At 51.7% G+C, this 13039-nt stretch overlaps 1 protein-coding gene across 3 annotated transcripts in view; it reads left to right on the top strand.

Annotated features, from left to right (window-relative positions):
* The window catches only part of RIMS3 (regulating synaptic membrane exocytosis 3), a 71387-nt gene that overhangs the window by 36419 nt on the left and 21929 nt on the right, over positions 1-13039 (top strand). For all 3 annotated transcript variants that reach the window (XM_047435189.1, XM_047435184.1, NM_014747.3), the window contains one exon: positions 7806-7980. The gene's annotated coding sequence lies outside the window, so the exon portion shown is untranslated. The remainder of the gene's footprint in view (positions 1-7805; positions 7981-13039) is intronic.

The raw sequence follows: 13039 nt of genomic DNA, 5'->3' as shown, positions 1-13039 counted from the left end.
GTATGGGGATGTCGGAAATGTGCACTGTTGACCTAGATAATTTTGAAGGTCCCTTCCACCTGCCCAACAAATCTAGGGGTCTCCCCCTGCTGCGCTGGCCTGCTCTCTTCTGCTCACCTTGAACCCTGGCTTGGGCTTCTTTTGGAGGATCCTGCCATGATTTCCCTGCAGACAGGAGAATTTGTGCCATTGTTTTCACAACCTGCTTGGGAGGGGGGCTCATGGAGATAAGGTGTCTGGATGTGGTAGGATGCCCCCTCATCTCTGAGGCCAGGACTTGAGACCTCCTGGGGGGAGTAGGGGCTGCATACCCTACAGTTCTTCTGCTTCCTATGTATAACACAGGCCTCAGGGAGGCCTAGGGAGCAGTGAAGCTTTGGGAGCCACAGGTAAGGGCAAGGCTGCCCCTGGGGCTTCATGTCCCAGAGCTTGGGGCTCAGGGACAGTGAAGCAGAAGGCTTCGGAGTCTCATAGGTCCCTCTTCCCCTACTCCCCGCTTTGTCCACCGCTTTGTGCTGACTGCTTGTCCCTGGGACCTCGCAGCAGACCCCAGGGGGCCTCGGAGGACACAGTGGATTTATCCTCAGGGCCCATGAGCAGGGCCAAAGTAGAGAAGGCAGATGGCAAGGAGGGAGGGAAGTCCTGTCTGCCCCCTCCCTAGTCCCATGTTCACAGTGGGAAGGGTGGCCTGGGCACCAGGAGGATGGAGGGCCTGGGTAGAGTGTGGGGTGTGTGCTTGTGTGTCCATGGTGAATGTTTGAGGATCTCTGTGAAGGCATAATGTGTGTGTGTATGTATGAGAGAGTTTAAGTGTGTGTGTATGTCCCTGGCAAATGTAGCTAGGTAACTCACAGATATGTCTGAGGGTCTCTGAGGGCATATTGTGTGTGCACTGTGTGTGTGTGTGTCTGTGGTGAATGTATCTTCATGCGATATGTCTGCAGTTCTCTGCGAGGGAGTTTTTCTGCAGCGTGCGAGTTTGTGTGTGTGTGGCAGGGTGTGTTGTGGGTCTGTGTGATGTGTGTGAGTCTGTGGTAGCTGCATCTCCATGCCATGTGAGTCTGTGGTGCACAAGGTGTGTTTTTGTGTGCATGTGTGTGCTCTGTGAGTGCCTGTCTAGGTGGATTGCCTGCTGGGTGTGGTGTGTGCCTGTTGTTTTGTGTACGTCATCTTCTTTGTACAGCGTGCATCTCGCTCTGTGGCGCGTCGGAGTGGCCAACCGGAGGTGTATGGCTTGCGTGCGGGTCTTTGTGCCCTGAAAGGGTCCGGGGGTGGAGAGGTTGCAGGGAATGCGTGCACCTCTTTGGGCGGTGTCTGTCTGGCCTGGGGCCGAGCCTGTGCTGGGTTTCTGAGGAGGGTCCCCAGGGTGGGCAGCAGGCGCGGGCGGCGCCTTCCGGCTTGGTGCGGGGCTGGTAACTGGAGCCCCTTCCCCCCATGAAATATTGATCCGGCCTCGTCAGCGGCGCGGGGGAGGGGCGGGGAGGGGGAGGGGCGGGAAGGGGAGGGGAGGAGATGGGAGGGCAGGCGGGGGAGGGACTGGGAGCGAGTCGCCAGCCGCTGTCCGTGGTACTGCCGTGTCTCCCCCAGCGAGGGTGTGGGAGGGGGAGAGATTGTCCCATCCACCAACACCCTTTGTTGGGGCCCCTGCCTCTCAGGATGAGCCTGCCTTTCCCTTCTGCTATCCCGCATCTAGGAAGGGGGAGCAGAGGAACCAAATGTGTATCTTATTGGGATCCAGTATCCACCAGCTAGGGTGACTATACGACTGGGTTTGCCTGGCACAGTCCTCATTTTCATCTGCGGTCCAGTGTGATTGTGAGTATTGTCCCTGCTCATTCTCACAAGGGTCCCAGGTGGATGATAAATTATGTGCTCACCGGTAATAAGGCTTTGATCCAAAGACCTTTTCCCAGTCGCCTCTGCTCTGCCCTGGGAGTTCCCCAGCCATGTGGACATGTAAGTGTGTGTGTAGTTGCATGTGTGGAAATTGTCCTTCCTGTACTAGGATTGAGCTGGAATAAGTGCTTCAGAGCCCCGGGCTCCCGCCACAGCCCAAACCCTCCCCAATGCATCCAGCCCCCTTTTCTTTCAGTCCAAATTCTGCTTTCCATTCCAGCTGTGCTCCTTTCAGGCCTGGGCTTCTCCTGTGCCTTAGAAAGGGAGTCAGGGTGCCGCCCTAGCCTCCCTCCTGCATCCTGAGCTGGGCAGGCCTCTTCTCGGTCTCAATATCAGGGTGTTGTAGGCCTTCCAGCTTGGCCATCTGTATATTCATGGCATCTTCTGTGAGTTCCTCTCCTACTCTTCACCATGGACTCTCCCTCCTTCAGTTGGCTCCATCTTCCTCCTACCTCTAACTGTGGGTACTACCTCTCAATCTTTCCTCACTCTCTGCTCTCTTCTGGGCATTCTCCTTCCTTTCCACACCCCATTTTTTCTTTGGAGAACACACCCAAATCCTGCCTACTCACCTTGCTCTCCTGAGCGCTCGTGAATCAGCTTACCTGGCCAACACCTGAATGTGGGAGTTGCAGCATTATCTCAGACCCATCGGGACTAAACTGGGAATTCATCTTCTCCTTAAGCCAGGCTTTTTCCGCTAGGACCTCAAGCTCTGCTGATGGCACCTCTCACCCCCATCCTTCCTGTAAATCACCTTGGATTTCATTTTTTCCCTTTTCCCTACTTTGTCCCCTCACTCACTCTAGGCAATCCCCTAACCACACCCACGACTCCTGGCCCCGTTTCCTCTTCGCACCTCACTTTCTAAAGCAGTGCAGCCCTTCTTCCTGCATGGATGTAGCAGCCTCCTGGCTGCTCTTCCTGCTGTCAGGCTTCTTTCTGATTCTGCACTCAGTCTCAGATTGATCTCTGTAAAGCATTACATCTAAATCATGTCAGATTTCACTCCTACAGGATGAAAGCCAAGCTTCTTAGCCCCACATTCAGAGCCCTGCACTGGCTGCTCCCAGCCTATCTTTCCAGCCCTCTGTTCCGCAGTTGTACCTACCTCCTCTCCAACTGCGCTGCTGTGTTCGCCAGCCTCTGAACACAACGTTTTCTCCCTGGGCCTTCCCAGTAGTTGCCGCCTCCTTCCTTTAGAGCCACCTCTGCCTCTCCTCTCCAAAACCTCACCTATCTTTTGAGGTGCAACTACTGGGGTAATGCCTTTTCTGGTCTCCCCCACCCTGAAGTGTTCACTGTTTCTGCAGAACAACCAGAGCAATGTCTCTTCACCTCTCAGTGCCTTGGGTGGTCCATGGACCAGCATCTTGGGCATCACTTGGAAGTTTCTTAGAAATGCAGAGTCTCAGGCTCCACCTGTGACCCATGGATCAGAGCAAGCTCCCCAGGTGATTCACCTGCACATTGCAGTTTGATAAGCACTGGATGGTGTGGTCATTGAGGACGGAATCTTGCTTCCGTTTGGGGAGTCACCTTTGGCCAGGAGTAGTGGTATTCTCCAGTGCCAAGTTTAGCAGCCCCTGTAAGGAGACAGGTGCCACATCTAGCCACATCCTACAAGCCAAGGGAGAGGCGAATGGTGGAGATGGCTGAGAAGAATGTGTACCCTGGCTGGCCCTTTCCCACCCATAATCTATACCCTGCAAGGCCCCAGAGCTCAAGCTCTGTAAATCTGACTCCAGAAAGCACTTTAGTGACACGAGGAGGAATCAATTAATCAATAAAAAAGCAGTTATCAAGCAGATAGAAGAACTTTTCCCTCTTCACAAAACACACATTGGTGGAAATGCCTGTTACTTTAATGTATGTTTTGAAAAGAAAAATATGTGGTTTTGGTTTTTTTCTTTATTATAACATTAATACAGTTTCTTAAGTAGTAACTTTAGAAAACACAGTATGTCACATGGAGAAAATAAAAATGACTCACAGTGCTATAAATACTGCTAATTTAATGTTTTAAGTTGCCATTCATTCATTCTACAAATATTTACTGAGTCCTGCTATATGCCAGACCTGTGCCAGGTACTAGGGGTTCAGGGTGAAGACGACGACAAGGTTCCTATTTTTAACCAGCTCACAGCCAGGGGGCGGGGTGTGGGAGACAAGTACGGAACAAGTTAGGAACAGCAGTGTGTTCATTGCCTAGGGAAGCTGCAATAAAGCGCCACAAACAGGGTGGCTTAAAACAACAGAAATGTAGACTCTCACAGTTCTGAAGGCTACAAGTCTAAAATCAGGTGTTGGCAGGATTGCTTCCTTCTGTGTGCTGTGAGGGAAAATCTGTTCCGTGCCCCTCCCCTGGCTTCTGGTGACAGGTGGCAATCCTTGGCGTTCCTTGGCGCATTGACGCGTCACTCCCATTTCTGCCTCCGTCGGCACATGGCGCTCTCCCCGTGTCTGTCTTCACGTGGCCACCTTCCTATAAGGACACTGGTTATATTGGATGAGGGACCCACCCTTCTCCAGCATGATCTCATCTTAACTTGTCACATCTGCAACGACCGTGTTTCCAAACCAAGTCACATTCTGAGGGACTGGAGGTTAGAACCTCAACAGTTTTTGGGGGGACACAACTCAACTTATAACACACAGGGACAGTACAAAGGGAGTTATGGGGATTAACCTTATCTGGGAAGACTGTCCTAGGAAATGACCTTCAAACTTGGATTGAGCCAAGAATAGGGTTTAGCCAGGCAAAGGTGGCAGGACAGACAAGTTTGGGGCCACCAGATCATGGGGGTGGGGGCAGAGAAGGTATGCCAGGCAGACAGGAGACAAAGTGGCTAAGTGGCTCTTTTTTTTTTTTTTTTTTTTTTTTTTTTGACAGAGTCTGGCTCTGTCATCCAGGCTGGAGTGCAGTGTTGCAATCTCGGCTCACTACAACTTCTGCCTCCTAGGCTCAAGCCATCCTCCCACCTCAGCCTCCCGAGTAGCTGGGACTACAGGTGTGTGCCATCACATCAGGCTAATTTTTGTATTTTTTTTTTTTAGAGATGAGGTTTTACCGTGTTGCTCAGGCTGGTCTCAAAATCCTGGGCTCACGCGATTCACCTGCCTTGGCCTCCCTAAGTGCTGGGATTACAAGCATGAGCCCCACGCCCGGCCCAAGGTGGTACTTTTGAGGACTGAAAAGAAGCAAGTGTGGCTGGAATACAGAGTAGGGGCAAGAGGCATGGGACGGGCTGGGAGATAGGAGAGGAAGACAGTCCCCAGTTCACATGGGCTTGTGGGCCTTGGCAAGGGCCTTCTCCTTTGTCCTGCAGGAAATGGGAAGCTAAGGGAGGTTGTCAAGCAGGAGAGATTCATTCTGCTTTGTAGGCTGGCTCCTCCCAAAACTGACTCAGGCGGTATTGTTCCTTCAAGTCCCTGCTTCTGAGGAAGAACACACAGCCCTGTCCTCAGGAGCCCCCAGCCCAGTGAAGGCCCATGGTGACCCTGTCCTGGGAAGGGGGCATGGCTGCTGGGTGACCCCAGCGGCCCCTAGTGGAGCCTTCAGGAACCTTGTTCTGAATGGGAGACACGGCTCACCCAGCCCTGGGTCTGCCTTACCCTTGTGTGTTCTGAGTCCTTAGAGTTGTGGTTTGAGTCCGACCACCCCATCCCCTGCACTGCCATGAGGACTGTGACTGAGAATGTATCTAGGGCCCATGTGGTGCCCTGAGGCCCTGGGGGAACATCAGGGGCTCAGTCTTGTAGGTCTTGCAGGGACCATGCCTTCAGCACCCCACTCCCCTCAAGGTATGTCTGGAGTCTGTATTGCCTTCCTACACAGTATCCAGCCTCTCTGGGGTTCTCAACCCATCCCTTACCATACCCTCAGAGGGCTACCCGTTTCCTGTGTCTGATGGGAGAGGGCCCACCCTGCCCAAAGCTGCCTGTCCCTGCCTTGCCCAGGCTGAGTGGGCCAGGCTGGGTGGAGGAGAAGTGGGTCAGCCTGGTAGCCATGGTGACAGCAGCTGCTCCCTGCCAGCCTTCTCCTCTCCTCACCACAAACCTCACCGATGAGCTCCTTTGTCCGGTCTGGCGAGGATGGGGGCCAGGCGAGTGAGATTGGGGGCTGTGGTGTGTATGATTGTGCATGTGTTCAAGCTTGCACACACCTTGTGCACGTGTTCAAGCTCGCACACACCTGCTCAGAGGTGGGGTGTGTGCCTTAGCCAAGGGAGCCCACGGCTCAGGGTAAGATGCTTCCTGCTTCCCTGCCCACGGAGCCATGGGGCTCTTCCTGCCTCTCTGGACTGGGCAGGGGCCCAATGGGGAGGGTGTGTGTGGGTGTTTGCAGGTGTGTACACATGTGAGTCTGTGAACGACTATGGCTGTCGTGGCTGCTTCTGTGTGTCTCTGTGTGTATGAGTATCTTAGTGGGGGGTGGTGTGCACATATGATTGCGTCTTTAAGTGTGTATCATTGACATAAGTCTGTGTGATCACACATTTGGAATTCTGTGCCCCATGTCTCTTCCTGCATGTGTGTGTGCACGTGTGTGTGTGTGTGTGTGTCTGTGCATGCACGTGCCAGCCTGGCTTCGGGGAGACAAAGGTCTGCACAACTAGGAGAGGAGCCGCCGCTGTGTGCTGCCCACGCTGGCTGGGTGTGCTTCCTTGGCACAGACTGCCTTCCCCACCACAACCACCTACCAACTCATCACCCGCCCACCTCTCCCTGAGTGGGGACAGGAGAGACTAGAGCCGAAGGAGCCCCTTTCCCCCTTCTGTGAATGCAGGCACTGGCCTCTGACAGGGGCACAGATTGGCACAGGTGATGCGATGGGCCATCCTGGTGCTGGATTAGGTTTGGGCCAGGGGTCTTAGATGCCAGACCCAGCATCCAGCAAGGGGTCAGGAGCTGAGATGCTGGCACAGCTTCATGCGCCACCTCTCACCTCAACTGAAAAGTGCAGGGACCCTGATCCCAGACTTCTGGAGCACTCAGGGCTGTGGTAGGAGGCGATGCTCCTAGTCTCTGGGCCTTCCCCTGCAATGGTTGCACCTGGTGTGGACTCCAGACCAATAAGAACTAACAACTGGACAATCCTTTACGATTTATAAAGGAATCTTATTAGTAATAATAATGTAATTGCCCAACTGATGATCATTTACCACATCCCAATCCTTGTTTTATAATGTTTTATGTAAGAATCCTAAAGCAGGCATTATCGTCCCCACTTTAGAGATGAGGAGCATTAGGCTCAGGGGATTTGTTAAGGAAGCCCTGTATCATACAGCTTGTAAGTGGCAGATCTAGGTTTTGCACTTAAGTCTGTCTGCCTGCAGAGCATGTGTTTCATTCACTCTGCCTTTCTGCTCCTCTTTGTCTCATCTGACCCCAGTCCAGCCGGGAGAGTCAGGGAGGGCCCAGGTGGTGATTAGACTCGTTTTGTAGAGGAGGGAATGGAGGGAATGGTTCAGAGAAGCTGAAGGACCTGCTCAGGATCACATGGCTGGGGGTAGAGCCAGGAGTGTGTCCCCCAACTGCTTGGCATGTCACAGAGTGTCTGGGGAGGGACACAGACCCCATTAATCAGAGGGAGGTTGGAGGAAGGAAGGATAGGGTCTAGAGCTCCTTAGCAGTTGGTCCTGGCCAAGTCTCTGTACATGTATTTAAAAATCTCAAAGTTGTGGGTCTTCAGCAGCTTGACATCCAAGTACCTAAAGGAACATTAAGGGGGCCCATGAGTTGTAAAAATTTTACAAGAGGAAATGGAGAATTGAAGAGTTTAAATGATTTGCTCAAGGTCACACAGCTTCTTCAAAGTCTATCTTTTTATGCCACAATCTACTGGAAGCCCTTGAGGGTAGATGCTTTACCTAGCCCTTCCTCTAAGCTCCTCTCTTCCCTTCCAGACCCTTTTATCACATCGCCTCCTCTGGGAGCCTGCCCTGATTGCCTTCACCTCATTTCTTGAAAATTGGTGTTTTGGCAGAAGTCAATTGAAGCCTTGTGCAAATGCCCTAGGGGTGTGCTGTTGGGAGGCAGCCCCCTGTGATGCGGAACACCAGGCTCAGATTCATCAGTTCGGTGAGTTGGGTTTTCTTCCAGGTGAAGGGTGGGGAGGGAGCACCCAATAGGTGATGTGAGACCTGAGAGTTAGGGGACTTAGGGTTGAAGCAGTGATTTTGCCACCAATTTTTTATGTCACCCTGGTGCGTCTTTCCCCCATTCTGGGCCTTGATTTCTTGTTCTGCAAAATAAAAGGCTCAGGCTAGAATAGAGACAGCAAGTCAGTTTTAGCTCATGAGCTGTTTCTCATCAGCTGGTGCTGGTGCCCTGTGTTGAGAGGGACTCTGAGGCTAAGTCTGACCTTGATGGGAAAGAGAGAGGTTAATGATGTCCACTGTGAGTAGAGGATGGGGAGGGGTGGTGGGAGCCTCAGTTATTTGCAGTCCCTTCCAGCCTAACACTCCATCACCCTGTGATGCATTCCTTGGTCTTTACTGTTGGAAAGGTGGGTGGCTAGGTTCATCTTGAGCTTTTGTGCGGCCTTGAACTACCAAAAATTCTCATCTGGGCCGGGCGCGGTAGCTCACACTTGTAATCCCAGCACTTTGGGAGGCCGAGGTGGGCAGATCACGAGGTCAGGAGTTCGAGACCAGCCTGGCCAATATGGCAAAACCCCATCTCTACTAAAAATACAAAAATTAGCTGGGCGTGGTAGTGGGCGCCTGTAGTCCCAGCTACTTGGGAGGCTGAGGCAGGAGAATTGCTTGAACCCAGGAGGCGGAGGTTGCAGTGAGTCGAGATCGCACCACTGCACTCTAGCCTGGGTGACAGAGCAAGACTCCATCTCAAAAAAAAAAAAAAAAGTTATCTGGTTAGACCCACGGTTAAAGGGACTGAGGGGCCCAGGGTAGCCTGGTAGGGCCCTGAGACCTGCTGTTGTCAGGATTCAGGAGAGAGTTTGGAGGGCCCTTTTAGGGTACTGAGACCCCAGGGTAGAGGCCAAACATCCAAGGGCTAAAAAGAAAACACAAAGCTTATTCCTGGGGAGCTGGGCAGGTCTCTTTTGGCATGGAGTTTTGGCAGGAGTGGGGGCAGTAGCTGTCTCCCTGGAGGATAGATCAAAGTTTCTGTGCTGCTGTGGCAATAGCTGGGAGTCAGCAGGAAGAACTTCAGAGTGAGGTCTCTGTGACTCACTGGGATCATAGGACGGTTTCCTTCCCTGCGGTGCCATGACCTGGGCTGAGAAAGGGACAGTCTGCTCAGAAGCAGGGAATTGGTGAAGGGACTTGCGTGGGAAGGGTATAGTTTATTTAGCAATCGTTTGGAATCACCAACATGTGACACGGTGTGCTCTGTGTCCTGCCTGCTCCTAACCACTCTGCCACAGTCTCCACCACCTTCCCTTTTCCATCCCTGTGGTCTGATGGCTCAGGGGTTGCTATGCAGTGGATGGCCCTCCTTTTAGGTTCCCTATCTGTAACTTTGGCATGTCTTTCCTGAGCTAGACCTGCTGCCGGAGAAGAAACTAGATCTCTAATTCTGAGACCTCTGCTACAATGTGCATTCAGAGACTCAACTCTCCCAGTCAAAAGGACTTTTAGAGATTACTTAACCTGACCCCTTCATTTTACACCCAGATGAGACAGCCGAGGCCCAGAGGAGTTCACATAAGGAATCTGTTCACGTTCGAATCCCACATCCTGATTCCTAATCCTCCTAAGCTGCCCTACCCAGGACTTCTGACCCACAAGGTCAGTCCTAGGACCTTGGGTCCAGTGCTTTGGGTCTGGCTCCTCCTGCCCCTTGGGGAGTGGCCTGCAGGCTGGGCCCTCCCAAGCATTTTTCAGTTCTCCAGCCCCCCTGGTTGATCCCTAGATGGTTAAAGATGAGAAAATAGCTCTGGATGGTGCAGAGACCTTGATGCCAAACCAACTGCTTGTCAATTCCATTTATTATTCATGAGGAAACATGAGCCCCTGGGTTGGCAGGGTCAGGAATTTTGTCCCTTACCCCCTTCCCTTTTCACCCCCTGGGGGTGGTACTCTCTTGCTTCCCAGAGGCTGTGCTAGGGAAGCACTTTGCTTCTCCAGCTATGGTCCGGTTGGGATTTCTACTGCCCTAACTTAGATGCTCATGACAGCTGTGGGAACCTGGGCCAGAGGGGCTTTTCTCATATAGACACTTTCCTTTTAGTTTTCTCAAAGGGCCCAGAGACCCAGGGCAGAGTCTGAGCTTAAGGGCCGGGCCTCCATTTTTGGTTGAAGGGACAGGGGATGCTAAGCATTCTGTCTCTTTGTGGAAACAGGAGACCTGGGTTCAAGTCCAGGCCTTGCCTCTTCTTAGCTGGCTAGTATGAACAAGTCCTTTACTTCTCTGAGACTCAGTTTTCTTATCTACAATACAGAGATAACCACATGCCTTCCAGAAATACTGTAAGGAGTAAATTAGACCTACACCGTGGCAGAGTCACAGGATCAGATAAGCCTTCTCCCACCTTCCACCAAAACACCGTGCAGATACCTCAAAAACACACACACTGGCACTAGAATTGGAAACTCGAAGAGATCATCATAGGCCCCAGTCCAGGGGGACTTTCCATTAGCTGCAGGGTTGATGGGGGATAGAGAAATACAATCCAGGACTCTGCACACGTCACAGGGCGAATGAGATCGGTCCAGGCAGCCACAGAGAAGGCAAAATGAGGCGTTAATTCATCCACTCTGTCAGCTATACTTTGCCAGGCTGGCAGGAGCCATGCTGACCAGGTGACCATTCTCAGCTGTCTGGGGACTGTCTTCCTTTATTTGCCACAATGGTGCTTTTCCTCTTTCACCCATTCTCCCTCCCCTTTCTGTGTCCTTTTGAATAGGCAGACTCTCTCAGTGTTCCAGGCCCGGGGGCCCAGGGTCAAGTGAAGTGCCCTGAACCCTGGCATGGTCAGCTGCCCCAGGAAAACCACTGTGGGCTAGGACAGAGCCAGTAGGGTGCTGGGTGCAGAGCATGCTGGAGAGGCTGGCCTTGTTGGGTTCTTCCTGAGCAGAGGATACTGACTTCAGCTTGGGACTTTGCAGCCAAACTGTGGAGGCCAACAGCTGGAGATCCCAGCTCTGTTAAAAACAGAGCCATGGACTCCTGCAGCCCCCTCCCCCAGAGTGGTTCTCAGGGCCCTCTGTCCTCTTCCCTAGCACTTAGTGTAACCATCATTAAATCTTTAACTGTAGAATTAGTTACTTACTGTCTGTCTCCGTCTTGGACTGGAGGCTTTGGGAGGGCAGGACCAAGTTGGCCTGACTCACTGCTGTATCCTTGGCATTCAACATGGGCCTGGGAATTTTAGGGGCTTAAATATTTGTTGAATGCAGCTAACAGGGAGAGTAAATGTCTATATTTTAAAAAGGAATTTGACAATAGATTCTAAGAATCCAAAAGACATTTATGACCCTGGCATCAGGTAGGATGCTTTTGGAGGTAACAGAGAACTCTGATTCAAACTGGCTTAAGCAATGGAAAATGTATTGTCTCACATCATTGGAAGGCCAGCGCAGGGCGGGCCCTAGGTATGGCCTGAGGTACTTTCTGTCTGAGCGCTGTCTGTTCACAGTAGCACTGGCTTTGTCCTAGGGCTTAGCCCTCTCTAGGGTGTAGGAAAGAGAAGGACAGAGAGAGAAAGAGAGAGAGCCCCCCACCTTTCTTGTAAGCATGGGATCCAAATCTTCCCCCCCTTGGACAAGTAAGAGTTGCTAAGGTGAATGCCATTCACAGATTGCCTTAAATTAATCAAGATCTGCCTCTAAAACAAGGGGTGGGTGGTACCTGGACAAAACCAGCCCTCTGTGAGGAAGCAGAAAGGGGGAGCGGATGCTAGGGAAGCTCCTAGCAGTATTTGTACCCCCTGATCCAGTCGTTCCATTTCGAGGAATCAGTCCTAAAGAAATAAGCAGACAAAATCCATGTAGAAAGATGCTTAGGCTGGGCGTGGTGGCTCACACCTGTAATCCCAGAACTTTGGGAGGCCGAGGTGGGTGGATCACTTGAGATCAGGAGTTTGAGACCAGCCTGGTCAACAGGGTGAAACCCCGTCACTACTAAAAATACAAAAAAATTAGCTGAGCATGGTGGCGCACGCCTGTAATCCAAGCTGCTTGGGAGGCTAAGGTACCAGATTCGCTTGAACCTGAGTGGCAGAGGTTCCAGTGAGTCGAGATCGTGCCACTGCACTCCAGCCTGAGTGACAGAGCAAGACTCCATCTCAAAAAAAAAAAAAAAAGAGAGAAAGATGTTTATTGCCATGCTTATTTAAAAGAGAGGAAAGAAGCCAGGCCCGGTGGCTCATGTCTATAATCCCAGCACTTTGAAAGGCTGTGGCAGGCAGATTACCTGGGGTCAGGAGTTCGAGACCAGCCTTGCCAACATGGTGAAACCCCATCTCTACTAAAAATACAAAACATTAGCCAGGCTTGGTGGCGGGCGCCTGTAATCCCAGCTACTCGGGAGGCTGAGGCAGGAGAATTGCTTGGATCCGGGAGGCAAAGGTTGCAGTGAGCCGAGATTGTGCCACTGCCTGGGTGACAGAGTGAGGCTCCATCTCAAAAAAATAAATAAATAAATAAATACAAATAAAAGAGAGGAAAGAGAGAAAGAGGAGATAAACTTGGGCCTGATCTAAGCGGTAACTCTACTGAAATACTTAAATCAATTATGCTACTTCTATACAATGGAATATCACGGTAGCATACATAGTGTTAATGACATTGGGAAATGCTTATGATATAATATTTTTTTTTTTTTTTGAGACAGAGTCTCGGTCTGTCACCCAGGCTGGAGTGCAATGGTGCGATCTCGGCTCACTGCTACCTCCGCCTCCCCAGTTTAACCGATTCTCCTGCCTCAGCCTCCTGAGTAGTTGGGATTACAGGTGCCCACCACCACGCCCAGCTAATTTTTGTATTTTTAGTAGAGATGGGGTTTCACCATGTTGGTCAGGCTGGTCTCGAACTCCTGACCTCAGGTGATCCGCCCGCCTCGGCCTCCCAAAGTGCTAGGATTACAGGCATGAGCCACTGTGCCCGACCATGATATAATGTTAAATGAAAAAATAGTAGGATATAAAATGATATTTGCAGTATGAGTTCAGTTA

The sequence above is a fragment of the Homo sapiens genome, chromosome 1 (genome assembly GCF_000001405.40).
Source record: "Homo sapiens chromosome 1, GRCh38.p14 Primary Assembly".
In the NCBI taxonomy this organism is placed as follows: Eukaryota; Metazoa; Chordata; class Mammalia; order Primates; family Hominidae; genus Homo; species Homo sapiens.
Note: the sequence above shows the minus strand (reverse complement) of the source record. Positions and strands in the feature narration are given on the sequence as shown.